We start from the raw sequence: 20,757 nt of genomic DNA on the forward strand, positions 1-20,757 counted from the left end.
AGCGCAAAGTGGATCTGACGATGGGGACAGAACCCACCCTGTGACCCTGGACTTGAAGGCTGGTTTTCCCAGCAGTGACTTCTCACTGCGCCTTGGTTTGTGGCCTTTGTTCCATTCCTGGAGAAACAGATGTAACCATGGTAGCTCAAGGCTGTTTTTCCAGGCAGGAGACTAACCTCAGTGGCAGGGATTGGGAGGGGTGAGCTGCGGTCAGGAGGTGAGGGCTGCCACTTGCTGTTTCATTGTCTTTTTGGGAAGAAGTGTCCCCACCCTGCATGCTGGGAGCTTCCCTGGTGACCCTAAGATTCCCATGCCCTGGTGGGCCAGTAGACAGCAGTGTCCCAAAGGGGATGTCATGCTCCTGCCCCCATGCCTTCCATCCCTTTGCCTCCCATCTTCTAAGCTAAGGCAGTTCTGTCTCCAAGAATAACATGCACAAGGAAAAAAATTCCACACACACACACACACAGACACACATGAGAAACAAAACAAAACACTCAACAGCTAGAAGAGGCTTGATGTGAAGTATGAACCTTTGGTAGGAAGGAGCTAGAAAAAAAATAGAGATGAAAATAAAGGAGAAAGATGGGAAGAGGAGATGAGGAGCTCAGAAATGGAAGAAAGAGGTTAAAGAAGAATGCAGGCGGGTTGAAACCTTCTTAGATGTGGCCACTATTCCAGAGGACATCCCCTGGGCCTCTGCCTTCAGTGGAAGGTTCTAGAACCCGGGTAAGTCCAAGCAACCCTGTCTGAAAAAATGGCACTTCCCTCTCTGGGCCTCAGTTTGTTCAACTGTAAAATGAGAGCATCTGTCCTCTCAGAGAGAGACTGTGCTCCCCTCTCTCCCTACCAAGGGGCCAGCAAGCTAGTGAGCTTTTGCAATAATAGCTACCATTTATTGAATGCCACTTGTCACGTCAGTCATCACACCTCTAATCCTTTCTCAAGCAACACAACTCTGAAAGATATAGATTTTTATCAGCACCTCCAATTTACAGATAATAAAACAGGTATGGAGAGGGCAGGTAGCTTGCCCATTGCCACCCAGCCAGCCAATGTCTGAGCCAGGATTTGAACCCAGCTGCGTTTGATGCCAAAGCTCATATTTGTTCCCCTTCACCATGCTGCCCCCTGGGAAGTCCAATTCAAGGGCAGGGGGATTTGGACCCTTCCCCTGGGAGGCTGACTCTTAGTCTAGGGGTTTAATCAGAGCCAGCCTGGAAAGATGAGCAGAGGGGGCTGAGACCCAAGCTTGCCAGGTGACTAAGGAGTATGGAGTGCAAATGAGTGGTATGGGCAGAAAGGTACCGATCCCTGTGGGCTGGGGGTCAGGGAAGGCTTCTAGGAACAGGGGCCTTGTCTGAGCTGTGAAGAGTAGAAAGCATTTTGTTGGGCAGAGGGGGCAGGAAGAACATGCTCTACATCATTTGAATCCGGAATGGATCTGGAGAGCTTTAAATCCCTTCTGAAAATAGGCTTAACCTGGATTCCCCAAGTGGGATCAAACAAATTGTCCTCAGCTGGTGCTGACACTGTGCCTGGAGTTGACTGAGGAGGTTGAGGGTGAGGTCCCCGCTCTCAGATAGCCTGGGCTGACATCTTCGCTTCACCACCCCATGACCTGTGGGACTTGGTAATTACCCTCCTTGAGCTGGGTTTCCTCATCTGTACAATGAGGATGAGTTGCCATGAGGATCAAATGAGGTAATGCACACAAATTGCCTCCTGATATGTAGTCAGTGCTCAACCAATGCTAGCAATTGTGAAGTCCAGGAAGGATGCAGACATCTTATGGGTGTTTTTGCAGGGATGGGGCCATAACAGAAACCAATTTGCCTTCTGCACAGTTTTGCAGAGATCTACGCTATTGAAGACACTCCCTGAGAAGGGTCCTTACAGGCTCCCAGGGCTCTCCCCTGGCATCTGTTCGGAGCATCACCATCTTCTAAGGTTTTTTCATACCTCCTTGTCTCAGGTACTTCTAACCCAAAGAGCTTGGCAAGGCTGGTACAAATTTTACGTCCATTTTACAGATGAGAAAATTAGGCACAGAACGAAGCCCATGCCCCAGGCCACATGGCAAATCAGTGTCAGAGCTAGAATTAGAACTAGGATGTTTTAACCCATTTATGCCTAGTGTTCCATTATTGGAACACTAAGCTTGTGGGAGTTATTTATAGCCTACTGCTCAAGGTCATCGCCAAAGTCTGATTTTTCACAAAAAGATTCTCAACCTCTTGCATAAATAGGTTAATGCCCAAGCCTGTGTCCCCTCTGTTAGACCACAGTGCCCCCAACTAGGTGCAAGCCTGCCTGGCTAGTAAAGGACTCGTGTTCTAGTCTTAGTTTTACTAGGAACATGAAGTGCTGGTGTAGGCAAATTATATACTTCTGCTGCCTCAGTTTCCTTATCTAGGAAATGGGGAAGTAATTGCATGGATCTCGCCGAGTGGTATGTGAGTGGAATGAGTCAGCCTGAGGTTCCAGGCACACTTGGGTTATTTGGAAGTCCCATTCCCCCAGTGAGATCACCTGCTTCAAGGCAGGGTCTATTTCTTGTATTTCTGCATTACTCCCAGGATGCCAGCAAGTAGGAACATGGTAGACACTGTATGAATGAGATTGGTTCAAATAAACAAAGGGGATAGCTTTGAAATCACAAAAGGCAGTGGGATGGCCCCAGCCCTCTGCCGTGGGATACCTGACATTTGAACAGAGCCCTATCATTCATAAGGTGCTTATATTAATTCATTTCATTCTTCTGCTGGTATTATGATCCCTGTTATGGTAATCAGAGAGGCTAAGTGACCTGCTCCAAGTCACGCAGCTAGAAAACAGCAGGGTGGGAACTGGATTTCTGCTTGAGTCCCATTGCTTTCCTGCCCTTCAAGAATAGAACTGTTGGTGCAATTCTATTGCTATGATCCACAAGTCTGGTGCCTCCCTGAATCCTGCTCAGCTCAGCAAATCTGGGCTCAGGATGGTGGTTCCATCTGCCAAATCCCCAGGGCAAGCTGGCCCCAGCCAGCCGACTCCCACTATCCCGGAAGCTGTCCCCACCCAGTCTCCAGCCTCCACCTCCTCCCATGCCCAGGCCTGGAGCTTCACAGCCACCTGGTGGAATTAGTGGCTGAGGTGGGGGTGGGAGGTGTGCTGCATGGGGTGAGAAGGGATGTGGATTTCCTCTCCAGATGTGGGAATGAGGTTGGGCAGCGGCTACCTGCGTTCTTTGAGCAGGTCTTTACTCGTGGTCTGTAGGCACTGAAATCCACAAAGGGGTGGTGGGTTAGGGCAGGATAAAGGGTGGGAGACCTGGCCCAAGCAGCTGGCCAGCCCTAGATCTCTGCTGGGCACACCCACCCAGCCCTTGGCAGTTTCCCCAAGCAAGGTGGTCACACCCCTTGGCCCTGGAATGCCCCTGGGCCTTGGCTGCCCCAGAGGCTGGAACCAGACATGTGGGCTGGGAGGCTGGGCAGGGCTACTTCAACTTTTAGCCTGTGCCCTGCCCGCCACGAGCACCCCAGGCAGAGCGCCCACACTGGGTAAAGCCGGCCCCACCTGCTCTGCCACCCTGCCAGGACACGCCTAGAGCCCGCAGTCCCCAGCTGAGCCTGGCCCACTCAGCCCCTCAGGGTTTCTGTGCGATTTGCTCTGAGCTTTCTTCCTCTGCTAAGGGCAATGGCCATCCAGGTGTTCCCTTACAGCTGGAATGCAGGCCCTTCCCACCTCACACAATTGTGCACCCCCTCCTCTTTCCCTGCAATGTCCAGCCCCCTTGACAAGACAAGCAAGGGCCCAGAAGAGGCCAGACCCAGGAAGCAGGCACCCCTGGGTTCTCATCCCAGTCACAGACAGATTTTCTCTGCCCCTACATCTAAGGTCTGAGTTTTTTTTCTGCAACCAGTCACTCAAGTCTCTGCTTCATGGTTCTCTGCTGAAACCCCCTGGGTTAACAATGCCACATGCCTGTTGAGCTTTACTTTCAGGAAAGCTTGTTCACAGGCATTTTTCTTCATGTTTTCCTAGGATCCCTGTGTACATAAGGAATTATTTTGCCTATTTTGCCAACGAGAAACCTAAGCTCCTGCTGGTGAATTGATTTGCCCAAGGTCACAGAACTGTGTAAGTGACAGAGGTCCCAAACCTCCTGCTGGTCACCTAGGCTCTGCCCCCTGTATGAGGCTGTATCCCCTGTTGACCTCCAGCCCCAACATCATCGCCACCTCTTCAACCCTTTCTCCATCTCCTCTACACCAGCATTGGTTTGATTTTATCAGAACAAGGTCTAAGATCCCCATAGAGGTTTAGAGTAGGGCAAAAGCCAGGGTGCGCTTCTCTAGGCTGGACTTGAAGGGTACCGAAGAGCGTAGCCCAAGGGATGGGCAGATGGGTGAGGAAGAATGAGGGGAAGCCTCACACCTGGGCTTTGGGGATAGAAATGGGTGTGGGATTCAGGCTGAGGGTACATGAGTGTCAGAGCTGCTCAGTCACACCTAGAGGACCCCCTTCGTCTATGTAGAGGCTGCCTGAGGCCTCTGGGGCAATCTGAAGTGGATGTGCCAGGACCACTGCCCTCATCCCCTCATCCAAGGGGTGGCTTGGAGCCTTTTACCTTTCAAAGCACTTTGACCTCTTTGGTGGCAGGCCAGGCGGAATTATGCCTATTTGACAGATGAGGAAACTAAAGTGAAGGTGAGGCTAAGGTCACAAAGTGATGGGATGAGAGTGGGGGCGCTCGCATCTTCCCTGAGGCCATTGCTTTTGCTAATGCACCATGCAGGGGACTTGCAAGAAAGACAGAAAAAGTGGGTTCCCTACGGGGCTGCCTGGCCTCAGTCACAAAGTGAGGGCTCGTTTCAGTTTGCTAGGGTGCAACTGCAGGGTCAAGAGCTGGCGGGACACACCAATGGAGAGGAGTGCCACCGCAGATGGCTGGCACCCTGGCCGGGTTGGCCATGGAAGTCTGCGGCAGGCAAATCAAATGGTGCCCCTTCAAGCTGTTGTTCTTTAATTATTTTTTCATCCTTTATTTTCTAGGGGGCAGTGGGGGGAGACTTGTTTTCTTTTAAGAAAAGTTGCACACCTCTTTCATGTTCAAAATAAAGGATTTACTACTTGTGTTTATTACAGGCGATTTCCTGAGCCAGAAAACTTCTTGGGAGGCTTATTAAACCTTATTAAACCACTGAAAATTTAGATAATAAAATAAATCACTCGTCTCCCATAAACAGCACTAGGCCACGCGTTACTGAGTTTCATACTCCCAATGGCCTCAGGCTGCCTTCACAGGAGATGTCCCCTTCTGGTGTTGGATGGCTCCCTGGAGGGTGGGGCTGTGGTGGAAGGGTGGGACAAGCATCAACCCATGAGAGCACTATTCTTTGTAGCCATTTCTGCCCAAAGGGGCCATCTCCTCTAGTAGAGTGGAAATGGTTTAGATTTTGCTAGTTATTGAAGAGGTTGTGTGTGGATAACTGGGCTAAGTGGTACCATATTTTGACCCTTCCTGGGGATATTTTGGCATCTGTTCTAGAAGGCATTAAGGTGCTCCACAGCTGGCTAGCCTCTGAGTGTGCTGTCTGCATGCCTCTTCTACCCACGTGCCAAGGGCTCCCAGTGCTGTGGGTAGGGCTCTGGAAGCTGAGTCCATTGCTGCTGGCCCTGGGGACTTTACACCAGGCAGAAAGGAAAGCAGAGGCCAGGTGAGGGGGCCATAGTTGGAGCAGAGAAAGGCCGGGAGCATGAGGAGCAAAGGCTGGGAAGTACCCAGGTGTGCAGTCAGCAGACAGCAGGCCAAAACCCTCTGGGGGAGGAATTATAGTTAAAATCCTAGCTCTGCTCTGCAACTGCTTCATGTGACCTTGAAGCGGCCGGGTCCCTGTTTGAGCTTCAGTTTCTTCTTTTATATAAGACTAGCTGGTTGTGAATGTCCCTTGCTGCCCACACATGAATCCATTTCAATATTTTGGTTCCAGGATAGATCCTTGGATTCTGAGGTCATGCACAGCTCGACTTCAGATGTCTTGGGGCTGCTGCATCTCACTTTGGGTTTCCTGTGACCTTGACTTTGCCCTCTTTCTCCTCCCACCCCCTTCACTTTAGTTCTCTCTGGGACCCTGCCAAGTTACACAGGAAAATACATGTGAACACACGTTGGACTTTCAGATGACGAGTGTTCTACAAGGTCAAGGTGGGGTTATTATTTGACCACAGTGAGTAGAGTGATGACGACTCAACAGGTTGGTAAAAGTGCTTGATGCGTCCCTTCCGCCTGCCCCAGAGGAAAAGTGAGGAGGCAGCTTCCATGTCTGTCTTCCCATCGCCCCTACAGTGGCCAAGAATGGGCATGGAGTTGGGAGCGGCCGCTTCTGCAGAATGTGCACAGATTCATTACAGACACCCCACAGGCCTTGCATGCGCGGGTTGGGGAATGGACAGGAACACAACTCATTCTCCCATAATGGTGACTTCAGGTATGCTGCACAGAGACACAGTAAACAGGTGATGGAAGGACCAATTCTGAGATTCCTTCACCTTTGACTGAATCAAACTGGTCACTGAGATGTACTCTGGGTGCCCATTAGGTACCAGTCGCTGTCCTAAATATTTTACATTTATATTTATATTTATATTTGCATTTATATTTCTCTCATTTCATCCTCTCAAAAACCCCATGAGGTGGCTACTGTCATCATTATCACCCCATTTTTCAAGTAGGGAAACTGAGGTAGAGCCGAGGCTTGAACCTAAGCAGTCAGGTTCCGGGTTTCCTAAGCAGTCTGCAACTGTCTCTCTCAGCTACTGCAGTATTTACCCATTTAGCTAAGTGCTGGAGAAACATGGATGAAAGAGATGGAGCTCCTGGTCTTAAGAAGCCACAGAAGAGTGGGAGAGACAGTAAAGACAAGACCTAAAATGAGTGCTAAGTGCTGGTTCATGGAGGCAGATGGGGTGCCTGGGGTCAGAGGACGGGGACTCTGCTGGGCCCAGGAAGGGGACTCCTCCAAGGAGGTGAGGCCCCCAAGCAGCCAGGGATGTGGGGCAGGGGAAGGACAACATTTTGGCAAAGGGATTAGCTTGTGCGAAGGCATGCGCAGAGGCTGAGTGAGGATGGCACATGCAGACAGGAATGCCAGGGAGTTTGCGGTGCTGGGTTCAAAGATTTAAGTTCAACGAATTTAGAGACAGGCTAGTCTGGGAAGCAGAGCAGGGAACACTGCAGCCCACCATGTGGGAGTCTTGGGCGTGGGTGGGACGGTGAGGCAGGGGCCTCATGAGCATTGGAATCCTTCCGCGAAGGAAATCAGGGAAGGTTCTGGATAGGAGAAGAATCTCTTGGCGCTGTATTTGAGGAAGGTGTCAGCAAGAAGCAGTCCTGGAGCAGGGAGGGAAGGGCGGCCGGAACCAGTTAGGAGATTGTATCTCCTGACCCAGGAAGCCGCTCTGCATTATTCACGGCCACTCCCCTGCCCTTCTCTACCCCAGACCTCCATGTGGGATCTGGCCGGGGAGGAGCTGCCGTGGGGGGTGGCAGCTGTGGGAGGAAAGAGGACAGAGTCACATGCCGAGGACTCATCACAGGTGTAAGATGTCCTGGTTATGCCTCAGCCCTCGACAAACACTCCTGCCTCCCTGCTGTTGTCTACCTCAATTTAGAGACGAGGTCCAGCCAGATGGCCTCAAAGATCCCGGCCCTGCCTGTGTTTTTCAAAGGAAGCCAAACCTCAGATTTGCCTCAGAACTTGTACTTTTCTTCTAAGCAAACGCCGTCCACCACGAGAACCGCCTGGCATTTGGCTGGGAAAGAACAAACTGGAAGCTTGCAATTTCCAGGCTTAATTGCACAGTTCCTTATAATATTATTATATAGAACTTTTATTGCACTGAGAAAGCCCAAGCGTTTCCTTTTCCTATTTATACCTGAGCCCAGTCTCTCCTCTGCTATCATTTCCTCCCTTGCCCACTGCAGAAGCTGATGGCTGTTTGGTTCCCTTTCCAAAGAGAGGGCAATTAGGATGTGAGTTGGAAACTCATTTGTCCCCTTTGGTTGACTCGTGGAATATCAGTCAATTACCACATGTTATTGATCACTCACCATATGCTTGACTGGGCTTCATGCTGTGTAAGTCTATAGAAAATACCTGCTTTAGAGGGGCTTCTGGCTTCACTGGGCAGGTAAGAGTAACCCACAGCAAAATATCTCAAAGAAGTAGGAACCAATAAAGAACCTAATGTGGGGCTGGGCATGGTGGCTCACCTCCCAAAGTAATCCCAGTACTTTGGGAGGCTGAGGCGGGAGGATCATTTAAAGTCAGGAGTTCAAGACCAGCCTGGCCATCATGGTGAAACCCCATCTCTACTAAAAATACAAAAATTAGCTGGGCATGGTGGCAGGTGCATATAATCCCAGCTACTCGGAAGGCTGAGGCAGGAGAATCGCTGGAACCCAGGAGGCAGAGGTTGCAGTGAGCTGAGATTGCGCCACTGCACTCCAGCATGGGTGACAGAGTAAGACTCAAGTCTCAAAAAAAAAAAAAAAAAAAAAAAGAACCAAGTACGGGCTGGGTGCTACAATCAGGAATATGGAAGCCAGCAAGTCAGAGCTAGGTGTCTGGGCTGAACGGCTGTCTGGGGAGGGAGGGCATCGTGGAAAGCTGTGCAACAATGCATCACAAGTGCCCGCTTCTGAATGCAGCCTGGGAATCCAGCCCTCCCTTTTGTGCTTTGTGAGACTCTCAGGAGACAGGAGCCTGCCTTCACTCTCCTGATATTTGCTCCCAGCCACAGGAGCCCAGCACCAAGGACTAGACTTTCCCGACCTAAAGGAAGAATAGTTCACCTGATTCAGCACCTTATAGAGTAGCTACCCTTTCCCTCCACCCCAACTCGACCCCACTGCAGCTACCACCGCTCGTCGTCTTGCTCTGCGATTTTTGGTTTCCAGACCATCATAAATTTACAGTGAAAATATTCTCAAGGCAGGAGAATCTCCCCATCTCCACCCTGGACTGAGGAAACCTGGCAGATCCGCTGCTGAGCTAGGACGGGCTCAGGAATTTCCTCACACCTAGAAGGTCGGCTTCCCATTTGAAGTCTCAAGATCAGAAATGTTGAATAAGAAATACAAGGTTAAAAAGTAAAAAGAAGAGTTGGCAAAAAAGTCATTATTTGTGGATGATATGATTGGATACTTTCCTATACAAATAACAGACAAGTTCAGAAGTATATTAGGGACCCCACTGACTTGGCAACAAAAATAGAAACAACACCTAGGAATAAGTTATTAAGAAATGTGTAAGATCCATACAGAGACTGTTTTAAACATGACTGAAGCACTCCTTAAGACTTAAGTCAATGGAAAGATACAACTCGTATTTGGACAGGGAGCCACAATACCATAAAGATGCCAATTTCCCCTAAATAATTTAATAAGTGCAATACAATCCCAATAAAAATATCGGAATTTCTACTGAAATTAGATAAGCTGATTCTGAAGTTCATATAGAAAAATAAGCATTTAGGAATAGCCAAGAAATTTTTGAAACAGATGAGTAACAGAAGTAGGGGGACCAGCCCTACCAGATATGAAGACACATTAGAAAGCCATAAAAATAAAATATTTGGTACTGGATCATGAACAGGAAGACAGATCAATATAAAGTCACGGGCAGTCCATAAACAGACTCACATAAATTCATGTAGGTATGAATTTAGCATGTAATAAAGGTGGAATTTCAATTTGTATTTTAAAATGGATTTTTCAATTAATGAGATTAGAACAACTAGGCAACCATGTAGGAGACAAAACAAAACAAAATAAAACTTGTATCCCTTCCTCACTCCTTACACCAAAACAAATGATACATGTAGCAAAGCTTTAAAAGTTAAAAAAAGTAAATAAAATATTGAAGAACTACTTTATAATTGCAAAGGAAAAATATTTTGCTAAGATAGAAAACCCAGAAGTCATAAAAGATTTGTTAAATTTGACTAAATAATGATTTAAACATTTATGTACATCCAAAATTCCATAACAAAATCAAGACACAAACAAACTGAAGAACATATTTGAAACATATGATGAAGGGCTAATTTCCTTTATATAGAGAGAGACCATGTGTCACCAAATCAGGAAAAGACCTATAGTTTATTAGAAAAATTGTCAAAAAAAAAAAAAAAAAAAACCAACCCATGAACAGGAAGATCATAGAAAAATAAATATAAATAGCTTTTAAGTGTATGAAAAATGCTTACCATCATTCAGCATTAAAGACATAAAAATTAGATTTCAAGTTTCATCTACCAGATGGGCCAAAAATAAAAAAAATTCTGATAACTCAGCAATTACCCTTATAGATATATATCTTGCAATTTCACTACTGCCATATGTTCAACTTACATATAGGATTATCTCTGTGGCATTGATTCTATAGCCAACAATTGGAAGTAAACAGTATATCCATCAATAGAGGCTTGCTAGATACATCATGGAGTACTATGCAGCCATTAAAAAGAATGAGGCATATCTGTATATTGATACATAGAGAACTATGTCTAAGATTTATCACTATGCTGCATGGTTACCAGGTTTAGAAAGAAAAAGATGACCATGTGTACATACTGGTTTGTAGATGCATGAATTAAACTGTTAGAGCCTTCCTACTGGAGAGGTTGGAAGGCTGCCAGTGAGGGGTAGAAGGCAGATTTATTTTCCTACATATACTCTTTGATAGTATTTGAACCTTAAAGCCATTATTATTAAAAATGCTGAATGATCTATATTTTCGTCCTTCTTTTACAGACTTCTAAATTGTCTTTGACATTTTTTGTAATGTCTGATGCCTACTGATTTGTTCTGGGGCCTTCAGCTACCCATCTCAGTTTTTCTGTCTGTAAAATGGAATTAATGACACTGGCTGTCTATCTCATGGGTGGCTGTGAGGCTCAAGGGAGAAATGGATGAAAACAGGCTCTGGCTGCCATCAGGTGCTGTAGGATTCAACTGCAGGACATTAGAGGTGGCCCATGTTCTGCCCAGCACCTGTCTACTGCACGGTAATGTCCCCGTGGCCACATAGGCAAGCTGTGCATCACAGCTGGGTTCTCCAGTGATGGAAGAATACATGACTCCAGTTATCTGTTAGTTCAACATTTACTATATAGCACCAAGGACACAGGTGCTAGGAAGAGCCGTGATGTTGTGTCAGCACCATCTGAGCTTCAAGAGTATGGCTGCAAATGATGATAATCACAATAATGAAAATCTTACTGCTTTCAGCTAACCACTTATCTCACATATAGTAACTCATTTGTTATTTGTTATTCTTGTTTTAAACATATGGCCAATGAGCTCTAAAGGGTTGGACCCACTCAAGGGGCCCAGCAAGTAAGGGGCTGAGCTTCCCCACTTGGACGCTGTCATTTCCCTACTCTAGGACTTTTGATGATGCCCTTTGTGGGACCCTGCCATCTCAGTCTGCCTTTTGTGGTCCCCCACAGTCTGTTCTGGATATAATTTCCCAGTTCTCTCTGACCTGGGGTCTTTTTAAAGCTGGTCTCTAAACTGCCTCTGAACAGTCCATTCTCTTTTCTGCATTGGTGCGTGTTCCTTTGAGCTGCTCACACCTCTAGTCCCACCTCTCTGGTCATCCCAGGGTCTTTAAGACCCCTTGTGAGTCAGTTTCACTTCTTCCCTGACACCTTCTCCTCTAAGCTATGTGACTTCAGAGAGTGGCAGCCAGCCTCCGGAATGGCTCCCAAGGATCCTCACCTCGTGGTATTCATGCCCCGTGCAGTCCCCTCCTGCATTGTATCAGGGCTGGTATATGTGCCTACAGACTACAGGAAGGCGATGGTGTGTGCCTGCCATGGCGAGGCTATAAGAGATATTGCCACATTCACCTTGATTTCTCCAGGAACTCTTACTGTGGGGGAAACCATTGTCATCTTGAGAGATAGTTCAGCAGCCCAAGGAGAGGTATGAAGAGGGACTGAGGCCTCCCATCAACGGCCAGCACAACTTGCCAGTGATGTGAGTGAGCCAGCTTGGAAGTAGGTCCTCCTGTCCCCACCTCCAGTCCCAGTCACCTTCAGGACTGAAACCACATAGGAATCCCTGAGCCAGAACGTTCCAGCTAAGCTGCTCCTGGATTCCTGAGTATAAAATCATGTGGATGAGAGATGTTTATTGTTTTAAGCTGCTATGGTTTTGGGGCATTTTGTTATGCAGAAACAGCTAACTAATGTACATTAACTAACTCAACTCCTTTGGGAAGCAGGATGTACTCTTTGGCCTTTGTCCATTTATTTTTTTTTGCCTGGGTTTTGTGTGTGTCATCTTGTATCTCCAACAAAATAGTAAAGATCTGTGGTTTATAATTCCCCTATATCTCCCATCATGGTTACTGGGGGTTGGGAACAGCAGGAGAATACACAGTGATTTGCCAGCTTCCTATTTGCAAACAGAAGGCGGGGGTTAACTAAAAGGCTCCAGCACACACACATGCTTCTGGTTTGGCTGGTACCCTCCTAAGTATGCAGACAACTCACACACAGAATGCCTGCAACCTCCCCACCTGAGACCTACAACTCACTGGCACACTGGAGCATTCAAATGCCAGCATTCTCAAATGTCCCATGGTGTGCCTGACTCACAACCCATTGCCAGTGGTCTCCTGGAGGGAGGGGCAGGAGGGCCTGGAGAGGGCTGTCACTTCTTACTACACTGACTGCTACTAGAGATTTATTTACCGGCCCCACACCCTTTTCAAAGATATTTCTTTCAAAGCCAGAGCGACAGCCTCCCTTTCAGCTTTCCTGACACTTAATTCCAAATACATGGTACACTTAATCCCACAGAACAATTTAGGAGCTAAAGAATCATAAAAAAAAATACTGTGGAGGGAGCTGTTGCTGCTCCTTTGAAAACAGCCCCTGCCCCAGTCTCTCCCCAGCTGCCTCCTGGTCCCCAGTCCCCAGAGGTCCATCCCCCCACCCGCCCAGGCAGCTTCCCTACAGGCAGCTGGTGGGAGGGTGCGACCCTTCCCCGGCTTCTTCCTCCTCCCACTCTTTTCCAGGCAGGCAGGCTTATTTCTCAAGACTAATAAACACCAGTTGAAGGGAGGAGGAGAGCCCCTTTGTAAAACGGTGTCTAAATAGAGGCAGCTCTACCATTTTTTTTCGGCCGGGTGGGTGGAGGTGACCAAAGATACAATTATAATGTAGCCCATCCTCTCCCACACGACCCATTTTAACCAGTGTGTAATAAAGCCCAGCTCATCCACCCTCTGATTTGGGTCAAATGAGAGGAATTTTTAGCTTTTCTGCGGAGTTTGTGCCAGCAGGGGAAGCAGAGGGGAGAAGGAGGAGGGAAGGAATAAACAAATATGCTACAGTTCTCTGGAAGAAAGGAAAGGCAGGGCATGCAGGGAGCGGGGATGGGGATGGCCACCCTTCACTTCCGCCAACCGAGTCCCTCTCTCCACAGTAGCCATCTAGCTCCCAAACCTTGGCTGAGACTAAGGTCTCCCTCTTCCTTGCTCCTGACTCAGTGAATCAGCTTTCACTGTGGGAGCCCATGGCACACCCCCTCTGCTCCTCCTGCCTGCCTCCTGCTGGTTCCCTCCACCTTCCAATACCTGGAAGATGTCACCAGTGTGCCCAACTCCCACCAGCCTGGCCTTGCCCATTCCGCCTCCTCAGCTAAAATGCCGTCCCCTCCCAACCTCCTCACCCTACCCCACCTTCATTGGGTGAACTCTTGCTCATCCTTTAAGACTTGGCCCAGGTGTCACCTCCTCCAGGAAACCTTCCTGAATTAGGTGCCTGTCCTTCATGTTCCCATCCTTCCCTCTCTCCTAGTCCTCACCACATGGAGATGTAAGTGGAAAATAGGTGCTATTGTGATGGGCCTGGGGAGAGCAGGAGAAATAGCTCTGGGGTGTGAGGTGCTGGGGATGGGGTCAGCAGACCACAGCGGGTGCTGCAGGGTGAGTGTCGGGGGATCAGGTACACCCATAGCCCGTAGAGTGAAAGGGGCTGCCAGGAATGGAGAGAAACCCAGTCGCATCCAACCCCAGCTGCTTGAAAAGTGGTGACCAAGCCGCCATGGAGTGCTGGGGCTGGGGTGGGATTGGACAGTGGTAGGGACAGGGGTATGACCCTGTTCTGGCCACTAGAGAGCAAGGGGTTTACCACGCAGTGAGCAAGGCAGGAGGTGAGGGCTTGGAAATATTTACAGATCATTTATAGAGCTTTAGACGAATGGACCTTCATCATGAAAACTGAAAGGAAAAATGTGTACACAGATGCAAAGTTCAACAGAGAAAAGGGTCATGAGGAAGCTTTCCTGAAACAGACAAGAGTAGGATAAAACAAAGGCTGGATCATTTACACATTCCCCAGGAAAATATTGCTTCCTTTACAGCTTCACCCCAAGACTCATTGTGGTCTGTGCACTGAGGGGCCACCCACCTGGTATAGTCCCACGTGGAGTGCTTGGCCTCGTCTTTCCTTTGTAAGGGATGCTCTCACTCCTTTACCCTTGAGTCCCTCTTTTCCCTCCACTAGTCCTGAACACTCACTGAGCCCCTCAGGCAGTTGAGGACAGAGCAGGAGGCCTTCAGGCCCACAAGCACCCCCAATTCCATCAGCATACTCAACAATGAGTTTCACGCACATATATGTATGGCCAGCTTTCAAATGCAGACGGGATTGGAATCGATTCAACACAAATGTAGGTAAAATCATTACGGAATCACCCAGGGTTGGGGTACAGCCAAGCAGGGTCCCATGACATATTTTCAGCTCCAAAAAGGATGCTTATTTTCAAAAGCATGGAGCCCACTGGACGGGAATGTAAGTTCCTTGAGAATGAGAATGAGTTGCTTCTCTGTACCTTTCACAGAGTGGAGCCTGGAGGTTCACATCACTAGGCATTTGGTATAATGTTTGTTGAGTGACTTGCTGAGCACAGATGGGCCTATTTACTTTGAAATAGTCAGTATCACTTCTACTGTCGAAAGCAGGAAATGACCTGGGAGCATCAGTAATAAAGAATGGCAAAGTCCTCAGTAAACAGCAAGTGCCGATGTGTGCTCTGCAGGCCTGGGCACACAGTGTACCTCTGTTCTCACGTGTGGCAAGAAGGACAAAGTGCTAAACCAGAAAATTTACAGGAGCTAAATCTCCCAAGGAAAACATGAGAGAATCTTATTTCTTCTCATTAAACAATTTATAAATCAGTATAAAAAGGATTTCCTCTGAAAACCTTTGGCCCAATATTGCTTCAATATTGCTATAACTTCAAAACATAACAAAGACAGCCATTGTGAAACATGCCATTGTGTTCCTGAGGGTTCATCATGTGATAGGTGAGGGGAACACCTTTAAGGGGCTTGATCCCCAGAAGGGGAGAGGAGAGCACTTCCCTCTCCCTCTCCCCAGGGAGGACCTGGATTAGCTGGAAGCATGAGTCACGCTTGATTTTCATGCTGTTGGCGCACTCTATCACTTCTGTGCTCAACACAAGATCCTGTCACAGTCAGAACCCCTGAACACTAAGCGTGTCAAGACATATCTAGAGCTGCTTTAATTTCATGCATCTTCTCTTGAGCACCTACTGTGTGCCAGGTATTGAGCTGGGCTCTTTTACACAAATTACCTCATTTGATCCTTACGCTAACCCTATGAGATGATTATTTTTACCCTCATTTTCCTAGAAGGAGACTGAGACCAGGAGTGGCCAAGTCACATATCTCAGGACTGCAGTAAGTCAGTGGCCTGTTCCATTCTAGAACATCTGAGAGCATCCAAAGGCTAAAAACTGGGATAACTCATGGGTGGCAGAGCTAGGAATGCTGTCCGCAAATATCTGATGAAGGCCTTAAGATGTCAGGGCTGGACAGGGCCTTTTATGGTTGAGGATGCTGAGGCACAGAGATGTCAAAGTGTCTACCTGGTTGTGGCAGAAAGCTCAGCTTGAGCTCTTAGGCATGGCCAAGATGCTTGTCCTGGCACAGGGAGCCACAGTGACTGCGCTGGAACCCGCATTTTGCCTTCACCTGCTCAGCTCTCTGTTCAGGATGGAGGCCCTGGCATCAGTGGGATGGAGAAAGTCTGTGACTCTGCCAGCCAGCAACCAGAAAGGATTACAGAGACACCATTCTCATCCCTGAGATTACCCTCCCTCCTTCCCACCACCCAAGCCAAAAGGTGAGACCAACATGTCTTGGTTTTCCCAGGACTTTCCTGGTTGAAGCATTGGAAGTCCTGCATTCCAGAAACCCCCTCTGTCTCAGGCAAGTTGGGATGGTTGGTCACCCTCGTTCATCTCCGCCTCCTTGTATGCACCACCCATCTCCGCTGCCCTTAAGGATCATGTGACATCAGCTCCACTAGACAAACAGCGCAGGGGCTTTTCCCCCCCAGCTTACACCCTTGAGGTCCTGTCCTGTCCCATTCAATGCCAGAGGAAGAGTTCCTGCTGTCACCAGGGATTGCTTAACCTGGGCACCTTAATACTTCTGTGAGGGGGCAGCCCTCTGCCCTGGGGCTCCCAGAGGGATCCAAGGCAAAGAGGAGCAGACAGTAGGGTGACAGAACATAACAGAACTGGGAAGAAAGGCAGGAGGGGAAGTTAATGAGATTTAAACAGGGAGAAAAGGGAGGAAAGGGAAGCAGGGAAAAGGAAGGTGTGGAAAAAGGAGAGAAAGGAGGAGAGGTGACAGTATGTGTTATAGAAATAAAAGAATGGCCAATTGCCATGGCCAGCTTTCTCAACAAGAAGTGGTCTAGGTTTTCAACAGATGCTCACTGGGCAGAGATGTCTTGAGAGGTGTATGGGGCTATGGGGATTATGTGGTTAATCCTAATTTTGCAGATGTTGAGAAAACTAAAGCTTATAGGACTGGAATGTAAAAGCGTCCATGGTAGAAATCATGCCAAATGCCTTTTTTGTATCCAACCCAAAACTTCCATGATATCTTTGCATTTATATTTAATTTATAATTATATATAATTTATAATTGATAATTAAATACTTATTAATAAGGACAGTGACAATAGTGATATTGATCTCTGGCAATCCAGTCCTCCTCCTAAGCATGTCTTTCCAAGTAAATGTCAACACAAAGTTGTATAATTATATTGGAAATTTGAGCAATATGGCCATGAAGAATGAGAAGGTGGCCCCAGTCTACTGGGAAACAGAAGCAGGGTTGGCTCCATGCATATGCAGCTGCTGGATGGGGTCACTGGAGGGCACCCCACTAAGCTCTGCCCATTCCAAAGTATATCTCTTCCACCAGCAGAGTGTGATGCCATCCACCTTGCCATTCCAACCACTGGGAATTCCCACTAGGGGAGGTCTTAACAAGAAGCTCTGCTGGTGGAAACCACTAAGGCCTTTTTTATCCTGTATCCAAGTTATTTCAGGATTTCTGGGCTAGTCCTATAGTAGTACTTGTGAGCTTATCATGTCAATGACTCGTCTTCTTGGAAGATACAGGGTACCTGTCCCATGGACCTTGGGCCCACCATCTGTGCCTGTGAGTTGAGGCAAGAAGAATGGCAATAGGCCAGGTGTGGTGGCTCATGCCTATAATCCCAGCACTTTGGGAGGCCGAGGCGGGTGGATTACTTGAGTTTAGGAGTTCAAAACCAGCCTGGGCAATATGGCAAAACCCCATTTCTACAAAATATACAAAAATTAGCTGGGCATGGTGGCATGCACCTGCAGTCCCAGCTACTTAGGAGGCTGAAGTGGGAGGCTCACTTGAGCCTGGGAAGTTGAGGCTGCAGTGAGCCGTCTTCACACCACTGCACTCTAGCCTGGGTGACAGAGTGAGACTATCTCAAAAAATAAAAAAAGAAAAATGGCAATAGGAACAGGGAGAAGAAGGTGGTCCCAAGGCAGGGCCCCCCGGGAGGAGTAGGATGCAGGCTGAAGTGGACCCTAGAAGTTCTGCTCTAGAGGAAAATGGCAGGAGAAGACCTGGAACAAAGCAACAAAGCCCACAGAGGGCTTCTCGAAACACCACCTCCCTCCTTCAGGGTACTCCTAAGCTCCCACCACTCCACTCAAGGAAAGGACTCTGCAGTCACAGACTTTAACCGCCAAACATCTAACATGTCCTTTTGGTTGGGAGAGGCCCTGTGGGGAGAGTTTTGATGGTAGGAAGCAGGACTCTGCCTCCCACTGAGGAAGAGGGGCCTCCTTCCACTCCCAGTGCCCCCCGCCCCCTCCCTGTCCAGCGAGCGCATGCGCACACAGCGCTAGGCCCAGCTGGCTGGACCCCGCTGCCAGGACCTTGAATCTTAAGTGAGTGACAGTTAGCAGCAGCAGTTTGTGTTGCTTATTTGCAACTATGAACTTTGAGTGACATAAATGTTGGGCATACCTGAATACCAGAGCCTTGCTGGAGATTCGCAATGAATCTCTCTCTCTCTCTCACACACACACACACACACAAACACACACGCCTGAGAAAGCCCATAGTATAGAAACCTGTTTAACTTTGTTTAACTCTGCATTTCCCAAACTTGTTTAATCTTTCTGCTTTGCCTAACGCCTTTTAATATCCTGCAGAACTGGTGTGACAAGCACACCTTCAGGTAACACTGGGGGTAGAGCCATGCTTTCCAAACTTTTTCAGTCATGGAATTTGCAGAGAAACACTATTTTTATGGCACAAAGGAATTGGAGGGCTCTCAGGAGGTTGCTGGGCTGTTCAGCTGACAAGAGGCATGAAGGGGCAAAGCCACTGGTTGGGAAGCTGTGGACCAGAGGACAGAGCCCTCTGGGATACAAGCCTGGAGGCCTGACCTCTCGCCCTGGCTCTGGTGTGAAGCAGCCTCCATGAGGTCACACAGGTAGCTGCGGCATCCCAGGGCCTCCTCTACTGTACCATACAGTTTCCCTCTAGGGCCGTTGGAGAAGTGGTCTTATCAGAGGATGCCTGCTTTCTCTGAACAGAAATGAGGGGGCAGAGTGGGGCAGCTCATCTTCCAATACACCCCCATCCCTGGAATTAGCTCAGGGTCAGGACTTGCCAGCTCTGCCCTCTCTGCTCACCCCTCCTCCTCCTTCCCAATAAGTTCTGGATCCAGCCCTAGTAGGCAATGCATGGAAGCTTCTTGTGTGAGGAAGCCCACCCATTTGGAGGTCTTCTGTCTCTGCATGTGGTATCTGCTCTCTCCTTCATCTGCCAGCCAGGCATCATCTCCTAACCTTCGGCTTCCATGCTGTTCATCTCCTGAGGCCCCATAATCCTTGCTGGCATCCCTGGGGACTGGGCTAGTGCCCACCCTGGCTCCACCAGCCTTGGTTTGCGGCTCTGTCTCTAGAGCCCCTATCTGCCCACAGCCTGCCTCAGCCAGACTCTTTGGAACACAATCTCTGGCTAACATCACATGCATATTTCAGAGGATCTGTACACCCCACGGATGTGGGTGCTGCCAAGCCCTGGGGGGGCGGAGGTGGGGGTGATGTGTTTCTAACAAGATCAACTATTATAACTGGGCTTTGATTTAAAGCAAAATCTATTTCACAAGCCATGTTTAGTGCTGAGTGAGAGGCGAGTGTGCAGAGACCATATCTGTAGATTATGGCATTAAGTGTGCAAATGCAAGCATAGATGAAGCAGCCACAAAATTATAGATAACAACGGGACCTGGATATAAATCCAGGGAGTTGGCAGCCACTGGGAGGCCTCCCAACTCTCCCCTCTACTTAGAGGCTGAGTCAATTTATAGCTTCCCCCTCCCCTGTTCCTGAGATCTTCAAATGCAAGTCTACAGGCCCTGAGAAATGCTGGGCATGTTCACAAGTGCAGAAAAAGGCACTTCTCTTCAAGCTCTCACTGTGTTGCCATTTGGAGTGGAGGAGAAGGAGCAGCCACTAGACGTTAGGAGTCTTGGGTTTAAGACCTAGCTCTGCCGGGTGTGGTGGCTCACGCCTGTAATCCTAGCACTTTGGGAGGCCAAGGCGGGCGGATTGCCTGAGTTCAGGAGTTTGGGACCAGCCTGGGCAACATGGTCAAACCCTGTCTCTACTAAAAATACAAAAATTAGCCGGGCGTGGTGGTGTGTGCCTGTAGTCCCAGCTATTCAGGAGACTGAGGCAGGAGAATTGCTTGAGCCCAGGAGGTGGAGGTTGCAGTGAGCCAAGATTGTGCCACTGCACTCTAGCCTGGGTGACAGAGCAAGTCTCCATCTCCAAAAAAACAAAACAAAACAAAACAAAACCTAGCTCTATAGCTCTATAGCTCTATTCCCTGCCAAAATGAATGACTTGGAAAGGGTGGTTAGCCTCCTGGAGTCATAGCCTTCCTCTGTAAGTGAAGGAGCTGGATTTTACCTTGAAGATCCCTTCATAGTTTTATAATCTATGAGTCCATGATAAATAAAACAGCAACGGAGGAACCAGCTATGAAACTCTGGATGAGTTGTTGACCACTTCTCTACTTCCCTTATTTGTAAAATCAGGTGTACAATGGTTAATCTTACATGTCAACTTGGCTAGGCCATGGTATCCACATACTGGGTCAAGCAGAAATAGAGGGAGTTGTAAATTACTTTTAGAGGAGATTAACATTTAAATCAGTAGACTTTCAGTAAAGCAGATGACCTTTTAGAATGTAAGTGGGCCTCATCCAATCAGCTGAAGGCCTTAAGAGAAAATGACTGAGGTCCCCAGAGGAAGAGGTAACTCTGTCCCCAGAGTCAAGCTGCAACACCAACTCTCCCGTGGGTCTCCAG

At 48.3% G+C, this 20,757-nt stretch overlaps 1 protein-coding gene across 18 annotated transcripts in view, besides 1 other annotated feature; it reads right to left on the reverse strand.

Annotated features, from left to right (window-relative positions):
• Positions 1-20,757, reverse strand: part of ZBTB7C (zinc finger and BTB domain containing 7C) — a 385,914-nt gene that overhangs the window by 20,215 nt on the left and 344,942 nt on the right. The gene's annotated exons all lie outside the window — the stretch shown is intronic.
• Positions 7,320-7,820: an enhancer, noted in NCBI's record as "H3K4me1 hESC enhancer chr18:45580577-45581077 (GRCh37/hg19 assembly coordinates)". NCBI's record gives its function as "activates a minimal SCP1, AML or CMV promoter by ChIP-STARR-seq in naive H9 embryonic stem cells {active_cell/tissue: H9 hESC(naive)}" and the evidence as "EXISTENCE:reporter gene assay evidence [ECO:0000049][PMID:30033119]".

The sequence above is a fragment of the Homo sapiens genome, chromosome 18 (assembly GCF_000001405.40).
Source record: "Homo sapiens chromosome 18, GRCh38.p14 Primary Assembly".
In the NCBI taxonomy this organism is placed as follows: domain Eukaryota; kingdom Metazoa; phylum Chordata; class Mammalia; order Primates; family Hominidae; genus Homo; species Homo sapiens.